General features: G+C 40.8%; 1 long non-coding RNA gene across 1 annotated transcript in view, besides 1 other annotated feature; it reads left to right on the forward strand.

Annotated features, from left to right (window-relative positions):
• Positions 2,110-2,775: an enhancer, noted in NCBI's record as "OCT4-NANOG hESC enhancer chr12:67913523-67914188 (GRCh37/hg19 assembly coordinates)". NCBI's record gives its function as "activates a minimal SCP1, AML or CMV promoter by ChIP-STARR-seq in naive H9 embryonic stem cells {active_cell/tissue: H9 hESC(naive)}" and the evidence as "EXISTENCE:reporter gene assay evidence [ECO:0000049][PMID:30033119]".
• LINC02408 (long intergenic non-protein coding RNA 2408) overlaps positions 2,449-18,988 on the forward strand; it is a 47,050-nt gene continuing 30,510 nt past the window's right edge. Inside the window, exon 1 of the long non-coding RNA NR_103861.1 lies at positions 2,449-2,559. This is a non-coding gene — a long non-coding RNA (long intergenic non-protein coding RNA 2408). The remainder of the gene's footprint in view (positions 2,560-18,988) is intronic.

Here is an 18,988-nt window from a genome sequence, read left to right on the forward strand (position 1 = left end):
TTGGAGGTACCAGGGGAGTATTTTGGGATCTGAAGTGTTCAGGGTAGGAGCCTTTTGAAACCAGGGACTGAGGCCGCGGAGATGTGAGTGCTAGGATGTCAGGGCTTCCCCAGCCCAGCAGTTGCGAGTCTGGAATCGGCTTGGTTCAGTTGCAAGTTACACTCTCACTCTCCTTACACCCTAGACATGTGTTTTAGAATTATAAAATTTGTGTCTGTTAAAGCCAAGTTAAAATAGCAAAAAAAAACCACTCAGTTTTATCACCCATGTGTAACAACTATTATTCAGTATATTCCTTTATATTGTTGTCATTTTTTCTGGACATAATTTTTCAACAGTGTATATAATGTATATGCAAATATTATAGCCTGCTTTTACACTCAAAATAATATGACCATTTATTCCTTAAGGAATATCCTTTCCTTCATAATAATTACACTAACAGTGACCAGTTATTGCTGGGTTTCTGAAAATTGAATAATCTATGAACTCATTCTATAGAAAAAAATTTGCATGAACATCTACCGGTAAAAATTGTTTTTATCTTTACTTAAATATACAGGACCTAAAACAAGTACTTTATAACATAAAGATGTACATCTATATGTTATATATCTACATCTGTCTCTCCTTTTTTATAAGGCCTAAAAACAAATGCTTTATTACTTGCAAACCACAACATCAAAACAATTTTATATGTTAAAAATAAGACAACAGGGAGGCTGAGGTGGGTGGATCACGAGGTCAAGAGATCAAGATGATCCTGGCCAACATGGTGAAACCCCGTCTCTGCTAAAAATACAAAAATTAGCTGGGCGTGGTGGTGTGTGCCTGTAGACCCAGCTACTCGGGAGGCTGAGGCAGGAGAATCGCTTGAACCCAGGAGGTGAAGATTGCAGTGAGCCGAGATCGTGCCACTGCAGTCCAGCCTGGCAACAGCGAGACTCCTTCTCAAAAAAAAAAAAAAAAAAAAAAAGCAACAAAACCAATAAAATTCACAATTATATATTGATGAAATGTGACAAGCATTGTTTAGTGAATTTAACTGTTGCTCATTGCTATGGTGCAGATATGTTGCCTTCTTGGTGCCAGTAGGACCAGTGCTGTGAGCTCACTCAGTTCCTATACCACTTTTCTCTGTTCTAAACTCTTAGGACATTTATGTGCACAACCTGAAGGCATCCTGGGCTTTCACTTGGCATAAACACTTCCTTTATATCAACTCTGATTTCCTTCTATTTTCTCTAGCTCATGACACTTCAAGTAGTACCATCTGGTACCAATTGTAATCATAAACACAGATTATGAATTGAGTTCCCAAACTGAATCCAAATAGATCTTTCAGCTGATCCGTAATATGGCTATATTAATTTTTAAATTGATTGAAAGGTAAACAGAAATGTAATAATGTTCCACAGAGAACTTCCAAACCTAGAAGACTTATCATCACACTCCTGTCATTTTGAGAAACACTGATTTATTGAATGCCTCACTTATACCAGGTAACTGAGCTGGAGCCACTTACCCCCTGTAACAACATATCATTCCCATTTCTCAGATGAGGTAGCCGAGGTTTGTAGAGGTTATGAAATGTGATGAAGAACATGGAGCTGTCAGGTGAAGGAGCTGTGATTCGAATCCTGGTCTCTGCCATTCCAAAGCCAGTGTCCTTGGACCATGATCTCACGTGGCCTTCCACAACTTCTTACAAAGTGTTCTTCTCCCATGTGGGGTTTAGCATGTTTATACTGACTGAGACCAGAGTTAGAGATAAATGATTGGTTTTTTCCCTTTAGAGAAAGCCTAGCGTTTGTCATTTATGGTGTATTTATTTGCTTATGAAAATAACCTAATGAGGATGGACCCTTTAAGATATTTCAGTAGATCTGGCAGTAGCCCAGGTGATTGGCAGTAGCTTGCCAGCTATTAAATCATTCTGAATATATGAAGAATTGTCATTTTCTTCTCAAAAGGGCTTTGTCACGTGGTGTAATCCCTGCACACACATTGGCATAAGCAGGAGCTGTCTCTGTGCAAATCCATTCTTGGAACCAATCATATTAACTTGATATTTCATGTTTTGGCCCAATACCATAAACTGGCACAAATAACACTAACCTTGCCACGCACTAAAGATTGGAATAATAAATCAGCCAGCCTGTAATTATATTGGGAGAGCCAGCTTTATTCTTTAGTGAGCAGATTGATGTATCTGTTTAGACTGGTTGCCTTTAGGGCTCTCTGGGAACCTGGTCTGACTTTCTAGTGCCCAGGCAGGCACTGCCCCAGATCACTGCATATATAGGTGAGTTCCCGCTGTGCAGGTCTGTCAGGACCAAACTGGTTTCCAAACCTGGCTGGCTTCTCCGCAAGGTGCATAGCTGTCAAAAGTGAAACAAAGCGAAGGGCTTGGGATGCCAGAAAGACAAAAGCTCATCCATCAGGCTCAGCAGGAAAGGCAGGGGAGGCAGCGGCGGGAAGCCTTCCTTAGCTGTGTGATCCTAGATGGCTGTTAACTTAGCATTTGAGGACTGTCTCAGATAGACACAATTGGACCAGGTAATTCCTTTGTCTGAATTCATGTCATTTCTTCAGCAATGGCAGAAAGGACTTGAAGCAGCAGGTCTAAGTGGGCAAAATAAGACAAAATAAGTGGGCAAAATACTGACTGGGACCAGGGCTAGAGATAAATGATTTTTTTTTTCCTTTAGAGAAAACCTAGCATTTGTCATTTATGATGTATTTATTTGCTTATGAAAATAACCTGATGAGGATGGACCCTTTAAGATAGTACAGTGGATTTGGCAGTAGACCAGGTGGTTGACACCTGGTATGACAAAATAATGTAGCAAAAACATTTCATATAGGGGGAAATATTCCCTGTCTGTTGTCTTGCTTGCTTCCAAGACAGTATGAAGAAGATTATATGAAATATTAATGAGGAGACGGGTAAGTCGGTGAAAGAAGGGGCCTACTCCTGAATCCTGCCATTAAAATTTGCAGATTAATTCCATTGGAATTTAAAACGTATCGTTGCATTGTGGCATCAAGTGTGAAGAGGTCCCGCCTGGATATATGTTCCTTGCCTGATTCCTGAATGGCTTAATTTGGCTTTGCCTGTCTGACTCATATGCCTTCCCCACATTAAATTGGATGGTTTATTTTCTGAGATCAAGTGGGCTATTTTGGCTTCATGGCTGTATCTCTTTGCTTTTGTGGTTTTCTCTGCTGGGAATCCTCTAACTGAGTCCTCACATGCCTGGTGGCTTTTGGGTGCTCTGGTCCCAGTGTTCAAATTGCCTCTTCTCAGAGAAAGGCTTTTCCCCAACTCTCTCTGCTCCTAATCACTCTGTTGCATGTCTTTGTTTAATACTTTAATACTCTAGGATTATGTCATTTATTTCCTTGTCTATTTTCTGTCCCCACCTTCACATGTATGGGTCTTGTTTTCCACAGTATCTTCAGTGCTTAGGACAGTATCAAGTACACAGTGGGCATCCACTAAATATCTCCTCTTATGTAGTGAGCCCTCCTAGAGCACTAACCATGTTGCCAGACACCATCCTGAAAGCTTTATGAATATTAATTCATTTAATCCTTGCAACAAGCCTAGGAGGTAAGTCCTATGTTTGTCTCTATTTTATAGATGGAGAAACTGTTAAGTGACTCTAGAGTCCATTCTCTGAATGACTGCCTTAGGTTGCCTCTCTAGTATTTTTGTGGAGTAAGTGAATGAATGTCTGTCATCATCATTACCTAAGAACTCTTAGAATAATATAAGTTCTAAGTTCAATAGACATAAATATCATGATTCTAAAAATAGAAGTCTTAAATATATAAAAGATATCATGCAAGGTTAAGAGTCACTAGATTCAAGACATCACGGTCGTAAGGGGTAATGGGTATGCAGTCTCATTCTTGGTTTCTAATTCTCCAGAGCTTGTAGGCAGACAGTAGGTTAAATCCTGGGATGATACTGACCGTGAAAGGCAAATATTTTTCTTTAAGTTGCCACAGGCACTGAAAGATTAATCAAATGGCTGGAGAATGCAGGGAAACTCAACAGTGTTTAAGAAACTTGGTGGGCTTTATAACTTCAGTATTTTGAAATGTATTATTATTTGTAGACCTCTACTTCATATGTTTTGGTTTGATTGATTTGTTTAAACTCATACATTTTAAATCAATATAATAAATGTGTATACATTTATTTTTTAAAAAATCAATATACTTAGTTTGTGTACACACTTGGGAAGTTCTTGAGATTCTTGGAGACATAGAATGATTTTTAACTTTATCAAAGGATTTCACATTTGTCTTCTCATTTTATTTCAAAGCACCACTGAAGTAGCAGAGCTGGAATAATGTCATTTTTCTCCAGGCTAGTCGGCTCCCAGGTCAGTGGTCTGGACTCTTGCGGTTTTCTTTTTGTCTCTGTAGCTGCTCCCTCATCCTCTTTGCTGGTTCCTCTTCATCTTCTAATCTTGAAAGGTTGACGTGACCTAAGATTCAGCCTTTGGGCATCTTCTTTTCTCTACACTCAGCTCCCTGGTGGTCTCTTTCATTCCCTCAGATTTAAATGCCATCTCTATGCAAACGACACTCAAATGTTATTTCTAGCTCTGCTCTCTTTATCTCAGGACTGTTCATCTCTGACATTTCCCTTTGGTTGTCTAATGGGTATTTAAGACTTAAATGCCTCAACATGGGCTTCCAAGGGTGCTGTGCTTTGTCCTCTCCGTGTCAGTAAGACTACTCCATGCTTCTAGTTGCCAGACCAAAGGCCTGGGGCCATCATTGACCCCAGTCTTGCTCTGACCCTCCAAATATGATCTGTGACAAATCCTGCCGTTTCCACCTTTAAGATTAGATGTATCCAGGACCTGGCCTTTCCTTTACACGGCCACTGCTGCCAGCCTGGGACAGACCTGTATCGCTTTTGCCTGGTTGATGGCAATGGCTTCCTAACTAGTCTCCCTGCTTTTCCTTTGCTGCCCTTCAGTCTACAGTCGGCCCATCTTCCCTGCATGGGCAGATTCAACCAACTGCCAGATAGAAAATATTGGGGAGAAAATGGATAGTTGCACCAGTACTGAACATGGGCAGATTTCATTTCATGGTCCTTATACTCTAAACAATAAAATGTAACTATTATTTACACAGCATTTACATTGTATTAGGTATTGTAAGTAATCTAGAGATGATGTAAGGTATAAGGGAGGATGTGTATAGGTTACCTGCAGATACTATGCATTTTATATAAAGGGTTGAGCATCTGTGGATTTTGTTATCTGAGGGGGATCCTAGAACCAGTCCCCCACAGATACTGAGGGATGACTGTATTCTCAATGCAGCGGCTAGGGTGATTCTGCTGTCCTCAGATCATGATCCTCCTCTGCTGAAAATGCTCTGAGGACCTCCCCTATCACTTAGAGTAAAAGCAATAGTCCTTCAACAAGCCGCATGGCCCCACCCCTTCTGCTTTCATGGATTCCCTATGACTTGACTTCTCCGCTCCAGCTGCAAGATCTCCTTACTGTGCCTTTCACATTTTCCCACCTCAAGGTCTTTGAATTTATGCATTCTTGTCTCTGCCTGCAATGCTGTTCCTTCAGAGATCTCTGAGGCTTTCTCCTCAATTCTTTTAGGTCTTTATTCACATTACTTTTTAGTGAGGCCTTCTCTAGCTACACTATTTGAAATGGCCATAATCATCCCAGCACTTCCTACTCTCCTCCCATGCTTTATTTTCTCTGTGAACACTTAAATCACTATATACATTCTAGATGTGTTAGCATAAGCCTTAGTCTCCTGCCTGATCCAAAAATACTGATAATAATGGCACCGACCTCTTAGGAGTTGTTGTCAGGATTCACTGATGTAGTACAAGTGCTTAGCACTGTGCCTAATGTGGAGTAAGCTTTCAGTGGGTGTTAATGTGCTTCTAGTGTGCATGCCCTTAGCATCAAACTCAACACCGTATGTGCAGGAGATGTCCCCTACATTGCTTTTAAATAAATAAATGACCTAATTGGCAGAGTCAACATTTCCATACTTGTCTTTGTTCTGGGGAATCCATACACGTGAGGTGCAGCATGGTACTGAAGCTGATGCCTACACGAAGAGTCTGAACTCAGCCCCGGAGCGTTATCACTACTAAGCTAGGCCTTGCTATAAAACACTGAGCTGAGTCCATCCGATTCCAGCACAGGTTCTGAAAAATAGGAGAGTTTTTCTCCTAAAGAAAAAACTGTTACATGAGAGCATAACCTTTAAGGTGTACTCAGTAATAATGCCTTCTGAAGCATTTGTGCAATTAGATGTATTTCATTAACCGTGTTTTCTGAGCAGAGCAATTTGAAAGAACACGTTCCCTTCTGTCTCACTCTGTCTTGTTCTCATCAGCCCTTTCACAAATTAATCTGAATAAAAGCAACTTCCCCTCAGCGGTGAGTTAAAATAAGACACCGTTCACATGATTATTACTTCATTGTGCTTTTATGCACATTCCTCTGTGCTTTTTAATTATATATAATTACCAGGAAACAGGGAATAAAATCTGTTTAATCTACAATGAAACATGCTAAATAGATAATGTTTCCAGTTCCTGTTTTTGTTTGCTTATTTGTTTAGGTATAATTCTAAACCAGGGAGAGCAGTTTCAAGAGTGTAGACCCAGATCTTGCAGAAAATACAGCTTATAGGATTAAGCATTATTTATTTCATGTGTGAGCTATTACCTTTTAAAAATTGTCATGCAACTTAGTGACTCAAGTAATGACATCTAGGGTGCAATTATTTCAAATGCCATTTTTTTCTTCCTTGTAAAAAAGTTGCAATTAACTGTAAACAAGAGTTAAACTTGATGGTAGCCTATGGTGACTTTGATATGATGATATGTTTTTACTAGTTTCCGATGTGTATGTTTCTGATGATGAGCAATTTTATTAAAGCCTGTCACAGTGATCATATTAAAATGCATGATACTATTCAAGAGGCAGCACAGCTCAGTGTTAAATCTCAGGCCCTGGAGACAGGCTTCCTGCACCTGAATCTAGTTTTACCTTCTGTATTAACTATGCCATCTTAGGCAATTTACGTAACTCCTTTCCGCCTCAATGTCTTCATCTAGTAGCTATCTCAAAGGGTTATTGATAGAATTAAATTGATGTATATAAAGTGCTTGGAAAAGAGCACTGGATGAAAGTTAATTGTTGTTATCTGTCACAAAAGGCAAGGTCATTACAAACAACTGCAAAATCCCAGTGACTTGAAAGAATAATGGTTTATTTCTTGCTCAAGCTACATGTCCCTCGAAGAGTAGTCGTTTCAAACGCTGCCAGTTGCTGCAGCAGAAGTAAAGATAACTCTGGACGGTCTTGCCATAGCAATTAAGTGCTCCTGGCTGGAAGTGGCACTGCAACTCTGCTCCTAATTCATTGGCCAGAATTAGTTACATGGCCACACTCAATCACCCGGAGGCCAGGAGGTGCAATCCACCTTGTGCCTGGAAGGCAGACATCAAGCATCTTTGGCAAACAGCACTCATAACATCCACAGTTTCTGTTGTTGTTATGCCTCTGCAGCAAAAGCATCTGGCATTCTTGGTTTGAGTAGCCTTAACCTTTCGGGCTGCTGGCTGTTGCTGTTGGTGAAGGAGAACTGCAGGCCTCTGGGATGGGCTTTAGGAGGACAGAGTGTGGGGGTGTCTTGGAATACAGCAGGCTGAACAGAAGGCTCTATTTAGCTGTTGCATGCCAATCAGAGCCGCTGAACCGTCTGTGATATAAATGACTTAAAAATATTCTCCATTGAAAAAAAGGACTAGTTCTAACACTTTAAACATGTCAGCTCCAAGATAACATTGGAAATGATGTACATGCCTCTCCCCGCCACCCCCGTCGATGTCTACTTCCTCTATTCAAAACTCTACATTGTTTCCCAAGGCCTGGTAGCTCTTGCAGGTGGTTTTATTTAGAGATCCCCAGACTTACATTTGTTTGTTTGCCTGGAATTCCTCTAGGGCCATCCAAACAAAACCAAATGGCTTAGAGTTCACTCTTGATTACCTATGCAAATGGTTGGGAATCTTGACTAATGTGTATTTGCCTTTATTTGGGCTTCTCTATCTGTTTCTTGGCCAGGAACCCTGCCCCTCACCTTTCCAATTCTCCTCTAGGCTCCTCTTACGTAGGCAGGATCACCCATTTGATTGCCCTTTGACCTCTATTTAGTCCAGTTCTCTCTCAGTTAAGCTGGGCTCCTGCTCCGGGGTGGGGTTGATGGTGGGTAAAGCCTGGGCTTTTGGTTTCCCTGTAATCTCTAAATACGTTGATAATTTATTCTAGCCTTTCTCATTGCTGTCACATGGCTAGAGAAAAGAGCAGTGCACTGCAGATTTCAGAAGTCAAGACTGGGTTGAATAAGGGGACAGTGAAGGGAACTCTTTTTTTATAACACTGTCACTGGAAAGGTCCCACAGCTACTGCCACTCCCAACCCCCACCTGCCATGATAACACATACTTCCACTCCTTTCCTCACACAATCCCCCAGCAGCCTGCAATGTTCTCTGTGCACAAGCTTTGGAGGCAGAAATTCCTGTGTTCAGATTATGAGCCTACCATTTATTAGCTGTGTAACTTAGGGGAAATTACCCAACCACCCTGAAGGTTGTTTTTCATCTGCAAAGTAGGGTTTAATGACACTTAATGCAAAGAGCTGTCATGACAATGCAGTGAGAAAATTTGTATCACTTCCTGGTGTAGTTCCTGGCACATTCAGACTCTAAATTAATTGTGGTTGTTATTAATTAAGACCCAGATTAGGTTTTATCTTTTCTGTGAACTCTAACCCAACTACTTTATATCCTCCTAAACAATATACTGGTTTTCAACTATAACAAAACTCCTATAACTAATAGACCAAAAGCCTATTAGGTTAAATGGAACAGAAGTTTGTTTCTCAAGTTATAGTCCAGGGAAGAAGTTCCAGGTTGTGGGCAGGGGAAGGTGGTAAGGACAGTCCTTTATAAATTCAGGGTGATGTCTGCTCTTCTGTCCTCGACCAGTGGCTTCCAGTGTCACTCTATTCATTGTCTGCCATTTTACCCTGAGGGATGGGCAGGAATGTGAAGGTGCATATGTGGGATGTTTTATGACCCAGATGCATTGACCCTGTCACTGTCCATTGGGAGAAGTTTATCACAGGGCCACAGGCTGCTTCAAGGGAGGCTGAGAATGTGGTGCCATGGGGCTTCCAATTCCCCGCTGCAGTGAGGAAGAGGAGAGGGGATTCTGGTGATCAGCTACTTATCTCAGACTCAAAACCTTTTTATATGTGTTAGGAACATCTTTTCCATTAGACTGTTGGCTCCTTGAATCAGAGACCTTGTTGTAGCCTTAACCTTCAAAGTTATGTTCAGTAACAGACATGCAATAGCATCCTAAGAATACTTTGGGAATTGAGCTAAATGAACAGAAGTTCTATTCTTTGGGCAAATATCTTAGATTTTGTCTCCCTTGAATCTCAATGTTACTTTTGAGTAAAATGGACAAGCTTTAACAGATCGTATTAGGGATTTCCAGTATTGGACAATTTATTCTTTGCAACAATTCTAAGATAATAACAAAAGCACTGAGAGTTTCCCAGTGATATGTGGATTCCATGAGCAATTCCCATCATTAAAGTTACTAAATATAATTATTTACTGATATAGGGTACGTTATGCTCTTAGTATTATCTTTCACACATCTTTTAAAATTACAGATTCATATAGGCTTTTCTCAAAGATAAATAGCATTTCTGAAAATAAGTAGAGTGGACAAATCATACTTTTGTTGGGTTTCAGGGCGAAAAAGAAAATATGATGTTACACTTTTTAAAAACCTGTAATTTTAACCTAAAAGTCTAATAAAAACATATGTTTGGATTGGTAAGACAATTTTCTTACCTCAATTATGATAGAAAATATGCAAATAGGAGCCAAGTAAACTATAAGAGACAGATCACTAGATTGGGTATAAATAAAAATAAAGCAAAACAAAATATTTTAAAGTTCCCCTCCTCTAGACACTTGTGCCAGTTAAGCTACTGTCTCTGAGCCTCCAGCTCGCTTTTTTCTTCACTACTATGTGATGTCAACAAGCTTGACTCTGCAGCGTACTGTTGTGCTTTGCCACCTGGTTCCTTAGTCTACCTCTGCCACTGCATGGCTGCAGATTGTAGGGCAGGCCAAGGGCAAAGGGTCTTCCTTCTTTCCTTTTGTTTCGCGTTCTTGTCCTACAGCTCTCGCAAAGCTTCTTCCTCCCACATTCAAAACAGTTCCATTCAGTAGCAGCGGTTGAATCCAGGTTTCAGTTTTCTAGCACTCATGGAATCAGCCTCCTCACATCCTTTAGATATGCCAGCAGGAGTCAGTTGATATCTTTTTTTCAGGGTCTTGGGGGACCTCTTGGGCCCATGGAGCTCATCCTCCAATCTCAAAGGAACCAGTGCCAGCCAAACAGCTGCCCCTTCCGAGGGGTATGAGTTTCAGTCCATGGTGCCTCAATGCCGAGCTTCTAAGTTTTCATAAATCTGATTTCTTCTCTCTGTTCCTCCTAGGATTGGTAGCTGCTTCCTGCACCTGCTAGCTTCCTGCTAACTTCTCTTTCTGTATGTATTTTGTTTTTTCAATACCTTAGTTAACAATTTTTGTTATCTTCTCTCTGTTAAAATAACTGGTGGCGGCCGGGTGCGGTGGCTCACGTCTGTAATCCCAGCACCTTGGGAGGCCGAGGCAGGCAGATCACGAGGTCAGGAGATTGAGACCATGCTGGCTAACATGGCGAAACCCCGTCTCTACTAAAAATACAAAAAATTAGCCGGGCATGGTGGCGGGTGCCTGTAGTCCCAGCTACTTGGGAGGCTGAGGCAGGAAAACGGCGTGAACCTGGGAGGCGGAGCTTGCAGTGAGCTGAGATTGTGCCACTGCACTCCAGCCTGGGCGACAGAGCAAGACTCCGTCTCAAAATAATAATAACAATAATAATAATAAATAACTGGTGGTTTCTGGCTTCTGACTGAGCTCTGATTAATAGAACACGTGAAGTTCTTTCAACAAGCAAGTGGACCAAAATGCTGTATAATTTGAGTCACATCATCATACTTGGTTTTAGATTTGAATTTTTAAAAGTTCAGTTTAATGATATGTCCTTTTACTAAAAGTTATACTTAAATAGCTGAATGAGATTTGTTTCTGCATTTGGTATTTGGATGGAACTTTGAGAATGAATGATTTTTTTGGATAGGCTTTGCTACTAATTCTATTATCTTGGAGGCAAATGTTTCTCTGTGCCTTGTTTTCTCCTCACCGTATTGGGGGGAAATAGTGTTTACCATCAGGTGACTTTTACCACACCTTCAGACAGGTGAACTATAGGTCATATTACCATCTGGCTAGGGACAAAATGACTCATAGATGGGAACTTTTCTGAAGTCTGACATTTTAAAATGTTTGTTTGATGGACAAGTTTGGTTTCTAAAATACCAAACTTACCTCCTTGAATTCTTAAGCAGAATATGCTAAGTATATTTATAATTTTTACTAACTCAGGATTATAATTTTTACCCTTAAAGTCTGTTCAGCATTAAATACATCTTTCTCCTTAGGGGTCATTGGCAGGTGGAGGGATGTTTCCCTATAAACAAAACTGCCCCAGACTAATCATAATAATGTGGAAGGTAATGAGACAACAGCATCAACTAAGGTTTACAGTTATTGAACTCTTACTAAATGCCAGGTGCTTTTTCAGGTCCTTTACACACATCATCTCATTTATTCCTACAGTAACTGTAAAATTGAGGTACTCCTGTAACATGGTTTTGCTCTGTGTCTCCAGTCAAATCTCATGTAGAATTGTAATCCCCACGTATCAAGAGAGGGGCCTGGTGAGGGGTGATTGGATCGTGTGGGCAGTTTCCCCCATGCTGTTTCCATGGTAGTGAGTGAGTTTTCATGAGATCTGATGGTTTAAAAGTGTTTGGCAGTTCCCCACTCCCTCTCTCCTGCTGCCATGTGAAGAAGGTCCTTGCTTCCCCTTCACCTTCCTCCATGATTGTAAGCTTCCTGAGGCCTCCCCAGCCATGTGGAACTGTGAGTCCATTAGACCTTCTTTCTTTATAAATTACCCAGTCTCAGGCAGTCCTTTATAGCCATGTGAAAATGGACTAATACATATGGTTATCTCCACTTTACTGATGAGGAGATGAGAAACTGAATTACTTCCAAAGGTTCTACAGCAAAAATTGACAGAGCCAGAATTAAAGTCAGTCCAATTCCAAAACCCACTCTCCAATTCACTGCAAATTTTTGCATTTTTTTTTTCTTTTTTTGCTTTTAATGTGTACATTCATTTAGGAAACAAGTTCAGGACTGACCATGTGAAGGTCATTGTACTCAGAACAGTGGGAATTACCAAAAGGATTGAGACACAGCCTTGCCTTCAAGGAATTTATAATCCAGTAAGGCTAGATTTTAAAAAGTACTAAAGTACTGACTATAATACTAAGTGGTATGTAAAAAGTGTCTTCAGGGGGTAAAGTGCCTCTCAGGAGCACCCCAAAGAGCGGGCAATGCAGCAATGCAGCCTGGTGAGATCAGGGAGGTCTATAATGGGCAGGTAGAAGTTGGCCACAATCCTGAAAGAATGTGGGGCTGGGGTTGGAAAGAAGGGCAGGAGGAGAGGGGCAGGCTGGGGGTGGGTACACTTGAGAGAGCTGGGAGCAGAGAGGTAGGTAAGGTAAGTTGGAGCCACGTTGCTTGGAAACAAACTGATTCTTCAGAGACCCTTCCTATTCACCCTATTCATGTCACATTCTTTGTCATGTCCAAGAGCACTGAAGTCATCAAAACCCTGACCTTTAAATGGGCAAGACATTAAAACCTAAAATACTGAAGATGAATAAGAATCTGTAACCAGCCTTTACTATGTGCCAGACACTGGTCTAAGCACTTTAATCTAACAACCCTAGAAAACAGGTTGATATAGTTTGGCTGTGCCCCACCCAAATCTCATCTTGAATTGTAGCTCCCATAATCCCCACATGTCATGGGAGGGACCTGGTGGGAAGTAATTGAATCATGGGGGTGGGTTTTTTCCATGCTGTTCTGGTGGTACTGAATAAGTCTCACAAGATCTGATGGTTTGATAAAGGGGAGTTCTCCTGCACGAGCTTTCTTGCCTGCCACCATGTAAGATGTAACTTTGCTCTTCCTTTGCCTTCTGCCATGATTGTGAGGCCTCCCCAGCCATGTGGAACTCTTGAGTCCATTAAATCTCTTTCCTTCATAAATTTCCCAGTATTGGTAATGTCTTTATTAGCAGCATGAGAACAGACTAATACACAGGTACTATTATTATCTCCATTTACAATGGGGAAAGTGAGGCACAGAGAGGTTAAATAACTTGCCTGGGGTCACTCAGCTATTATGTGGCTAAGCCAGGATTTAGGCTCAGCCTGTCTGGCTCTAGAGTCTGATGGTCTTAGTCACTATTATACAATGCTTTAAAAAAGAAAAAGAATGAAAGGAAAAAGTAAACACCATCTGAAATTTTCCCTGAAGCAAATGGTGCTCAGAAGGCTCCTCCTCTGGGCACTGCCCCTACCTCAGCCCCACCCAGGCTGTGAGGTCTCTTCTCTCTGGTGAGCTGAGCCAGGGCTTTGCCAGGTGTGGACTTGCCTATCTCCCCAGAGGGACTGCATGGCCTTGAAGGTGGGACAGTGTCTTACCCTTGGGGAGCACATGCACACCGAGCATCTTTAGAGCAACTGTGTTCTTTCTAGGAAGAGACAAACATCTCTTGGTCACACTCAGCTCTCTATTAGAAAACAAAAGATGTTTCCTCTAATATGATTTTGGAATTTTCACCCAAGTTGGGTCAGTCCTTTCAAGATCCAAAGCTGTCTGTGACTCTTTTCTTTATGTTAGCTGGTCTGGCAGGATTCTGATTTTAGTTAAAAAAAATCAAATCAGTTCGCCTTTTCTGGATGCCAAGAATAACTGATGGAAATGAGGCAAGTGCAAATGAAAGAAGATTTACTTACAAGGAAAAAGGAATCAATGCAAACCACAGCCTCATTATTGAGGTTTAGAGACTCTGGTGGAACAACGGAGGATGTTTAGTCTTTTCTGAACGACTCAGACTTGTTTCTCATTTCCTGAGATGTCTCTGGAATAGGATTAAAATACAGCATACTTCATAAAACCAAACTGAACAGAAATTAATCTTTATGATTCTGAAGGTAATTTAGGATTTGTACAACATGGTGCCCATATTTTGAAAATTATATAGTTTAACAAAAACTAGTCTGATTATTGAACTTTTTGGGTGTTTAGATTCTAGATAAATAAGAGTATATCATGTTCAGATTTCGCATGGAACTTGTGGAATTAAAATCTAAATTTTAGGATAATAAGAATAAAAAAGAAAATCATCCTTCGTAAGCATTATATAGACTTGGACGGAAATCTAGAGATCGCCTAGACTCGGAATCCTTTATCTTCTAGGCTCACATAGGAAATAGTGTTTGACTAAGCCTGAGGGACCTGAGTCTTAGGACTCCCAGTTTAGTGCTCTTTCTGGGGATCTAAATATATCTGACTCAGAATATATAAGGGTAAGGATAAGATCCAGCCTTATCTGGTTGACTTTGATACTGGCTCATTCTAAATGGGGTGGTTGACCTATCTGAGGCAACTAATGATTGAGAGTCCAAATACACTCTATGTCCTTCACTCTTGCATCTTTCCCCCCCAAATATCATACTGAAAAAGTAAAAAGTGTTGGTGTCAGACACAATAGTACTTATATTCAAATCAGGAATTACAAAGACATTTGCATTTTGCTTTGCCCATATGTTATGGTAAAAATGTGAAGGTTTTAGTGCTTATTTTGCATCTGTACCTCGACTCTAAATCTAAATTTAATTTTCCCTCATTGAACTAAGTAAGCAATATTTTTTGGTAAAGTTAATTTAATGCATCTTAATAGAAAAGCAATTAAGAGCACCTTTAGCCATGCTGATGTAGACACTAGAGGCTCTTAAAACACACTGTTGGTTATCCATGCTTGCTATTACCTGGAGATGAGAAGGCTGCACATGAAGTGCTTTAGGCACTTGTGCAAATCATTTGCCTTCACCAGTGTCCATAATAGATCTGCTTTTCCCATTATCCTGCTGAGCAGTCAATAAAGCTACCAGGAGGAACCAGGGCAATGCAAATGCTGCCTCCCAGCACTATTTGTTACTTCCTAATTTATAGCCACTGCTCTCAGTCTTATCAAGTAGAAGAACAGCCAGAAGGGTCTTCGTTTTCTCTCTCAGTTCAAGCAAAGACAGCACTAACATTCACAGTGAGAATTTTTATTTTATGTTATAACTCTACTTGAAGTTTGGATCTCATAATACTCTTCTTCTGGGTGTTATTTTACCTACCAGCCTGCTGATTGGTTATTATATGAATTGCAAGCTGTAGTCAAAAGGGAGGTGATTTAAGGAGACTGAACTGACTTGACCTGCAATATGAGTCAATTGGTTGGTTCTGGTGGGCTTGAGGCAGACTTTTAGTACCTTCTTAGTGCTCAGAGGAACTGAGGCAATTTGAGAAGTTTATTAATTTAATAGCAATTTCACCATCCCTTTGGCTTTAGGCCAGTCCATTCATCCCTCTTAAGTACCTAAGTGTGGTTTTTCTCTCCAGCATCTAATTGTTGCATGGTCATCTGAGAAGGTCAATAGCTGGTGAGTCCAAGGAAAATGTGGTCAAGATTAAAGTACTCCAACTTTGCCATTGTTAATTGAGGGAAGAAAGCAGCAGAGAAAATGATCAATGAAAAGAGAACTGCATTTGGATAAAAGCAAGGCAAGAAGTATCATACGAAACGGCAAGTTCAAGACTCAGAGTGGGATTGACAGAAAATTGGATTGTATCAGTTACAGTTATTTGGTTGCAAGTAGCAGAAAGTGATTAGTTAGTTAAGCAAAAATAAATAAATAAAATAACTTTAATTTAAAAATATTAATTGGATACTGGAGTATCTCATTTGCATTCAAGAAGAATTGCTTGAGAGAGTTGCCCCTGGCTCCAATGATGCTCTATTTCTCAGTATTTTTTTTTATTTGTGATATGGGTTAAATTGGGGCAGATGACCACCCAATGGTCAGGTGATCCATCATCCATGGCAAGGATCCAGTAAGATCTCACAATTTAGATTTGACTGTGGAGGGACCACCTCTGGACTCAGGTCAGATGCCAGAGAATCAAGGAAACTATCCTCCAAAGTGTTTAAGACAGGTCTTTCTTTGTGGACTTGAGCAATAAGTATTCACAGCATCTTTCTGGAAAAGTCTTCCAGTAGGGCAGCAGGGGCTAGAAGAAAAGGCCCAAGAGTCAGTTTCCATGATAAAACATTGTCATTTGCCAGCTTTGTAACTCTGACTTTACTGTGCCTCAGTTTCCTTATCTGTAAAATATCTACCCTACTTGCCTTACAAAGGCATTGTGAGGATGAAAGGAGGTTATAGGTGTGAAGTGTAACTTGTAGCATGCTCAGACAGGCCTAAGCCTTGTTATGATGCAATTCTGTAAGGACTGCTGCTTAACTGGGCTGTCCAGTCTGGGCACGTGAATTCTGCCTTCACTTGGCAGTGGGGTCCACCTAATTGAGATACTTGTCTGGAAAAAGCCCGAAAGGATGCCTTAATTTGAGAATTTATGAAGAGAAAATATTTTTATCAGCTCAGAATGATTGAACCTAAGCTATGGAGCGAGAACCATATCAAGTTTACTCACCAGTATCTTCAGTGTGACAGTAATCTCTAACCACTACCATGTGCAGTGGATTTCTTCCCATTAAGGACGTGATGTAAATATCTTTGGTTTGGTCCAGTTTTTGTGTTTTTCTGCTTTCCTTCAGCTGATTCACTGGTGCTCTCTTCTTGTATCCAATATCATTTTTGAGTGACCTTTTTTCACAGTAGGGCTTCCAATGACAGCTACACAGAATTTTCAGTTTCTTCATTTCACTCTTCAAAGTTTGGCCTTGTGGTAGACTCTTTACCAACTTTTTCTATTTTTCCAGCTGCTTCTGTTCTTAACTGCACTGGACTTTGGAGGTTCTTGCTTCTGTGATGTGCTGTATGGAATGTTTGTTGCTGATGACTAATTGTTCTGGGTGTAACTTCTCTGGGCGACGTCCAGTTCTCCATCCCCCTGCAAAATAAGCCAACTCTGATTTATATGTCTGCGAATCTCTGCTGAGCCATGGAGGTGGTTGTGGAGGGGAGTTGGAGTAGAAATGCTGTTGGAAACAGTACAGTTTGCTATGGCTTCCAGCTCAAGAGCGAGTCAAATGTTGGCTGCTGCTCAAGGTCAAAACTTGGGCAGAGGAGCAGAATTAGGTCTTGTCCATACAAATGTGATTCTAATGAGAATCCATCCATTCTTATTACTGGCTAAGTGGAAGGCCATGAGGATAGTTTCAAAGTTGGGAAGATGCAACCCTGAACCTTCTCCAGGGTTTCAGTGCCGTGTCTCGGAGTTGCTGTTGCAGGGAGTCACACTCTGCCCTTTTGGGGCTGGACAAGTCACCTCCAGATGGAGGCACAGCATTTAGAAGATGCTTCCTCTGAAAATCCCTCCTGGCTTTTGCATTTAATCGTTTCTGACCCAGTGTCATTTAAATCACAATGCCACCTTTGAGAGCTTTCCCTTACAGAAGGACTGTGGTGCAGCAGGCTGCCCAGCCATGCTCGCATGCATGAGAAATAAACAGCATTGACAGGCGAAAGAAATGGGATTATGGCACTTTTTTTTACTGGCTTCCTGCTTCACTACCTTTCAGCATTTCCCTAGGTAAATTCCATTCTTCACTTTCCCACACCACTTCCGGTGACCAAATATTGTCACTTGACGTGGAGCTCCGAGTCAGGCCCAAACCAAGGAAGTGACAGAGAGAGAATGGCATAGTTGTAATGGTGATGCAGGCAACAGCCTGAGAAGCCATTCTATTACCAGGACTCTTGTCTTAGTGGAAAAAGGATCACACTAAAATCCTTAAATGGAATGTGTTCAAGACAGTTTTAATGCCACTTCCTCCCAAGTACTTCCTTCCTTTTCAATCCCTACAGGTTGCCACTCTGCATTCTGGAAGGCTGAATGTAGGAAGAAAATAGCAAACATGGAAACCCTTGCAAGGAATGATTTGAGTATATTTATTTTTTGATTTGTTTTCCAAAGACTTTCAGATTAGGGGTTATGCATATTTTAGTCTTAGGTGGGTAAGGTGTAGCATTTAAGAATCATCTCTGTGTTTCTAGAACAAGAGTAGACATAAGAGAGAGGCGAGAAACACATCCTTATCAGGATAGTCTAGGTTATGCTGTGAGAACAAAGTCTCTCGAATCTCAGCAGTTTGCTGGAACAAAGGTCTATATTTTGTCCAAGCTATATATTTGTCATGGGTCAGCTGAACTCACTTCCACGTTGCCTTCCTGCTGGGACCTAGGCTAATGGAGCAGCATCTATTGGAAACATTCGTGGTATTGTTACAGAGGAAAAAGAAACATGGAAAACCACTCACTGGCTCTTAACGCTTCTGGTCATAAGTGACATATGTCCTTCCTGCTTGAATTCCATTGGCTAACACAAGCTATATGGCCACACCTGAGTTCAGCAGGACATGTTTTATCCTCTTGCAGGAGAACTACCACAGAGAAGGCCTCTGGAATATTTGGCAAGATCATAGTAATACAATCTGCTACACCCAAGTTTAAAAAATATTTAGCATGTGATAAAGATACATTTCAAATTATTGAAAGAAAGAATAAAACAAGTGGTCCTGGGGAGATTGGTAGCTTGGAAAAATGAAATAAAATGAGGTTATTATTGCATGTCATGCTTAAAAATAGAATGGATTCAAGCTAAAAAATAAGAAGAAATATAGA

This window comes from Homo sapiens, chromosome 12 (assembly GCF_000001405.40).
Source record: "Homo sapiens chromosome 12, GRCh38.p14 Primary Assembly".
In the NCBI taxonomy this organism is placed as follows: domain Eukaryota; kingdom Metazoa; phylum Chordata; class Mammalia; order Primates; family Hominidae; genus Homo; species Homo sapiens.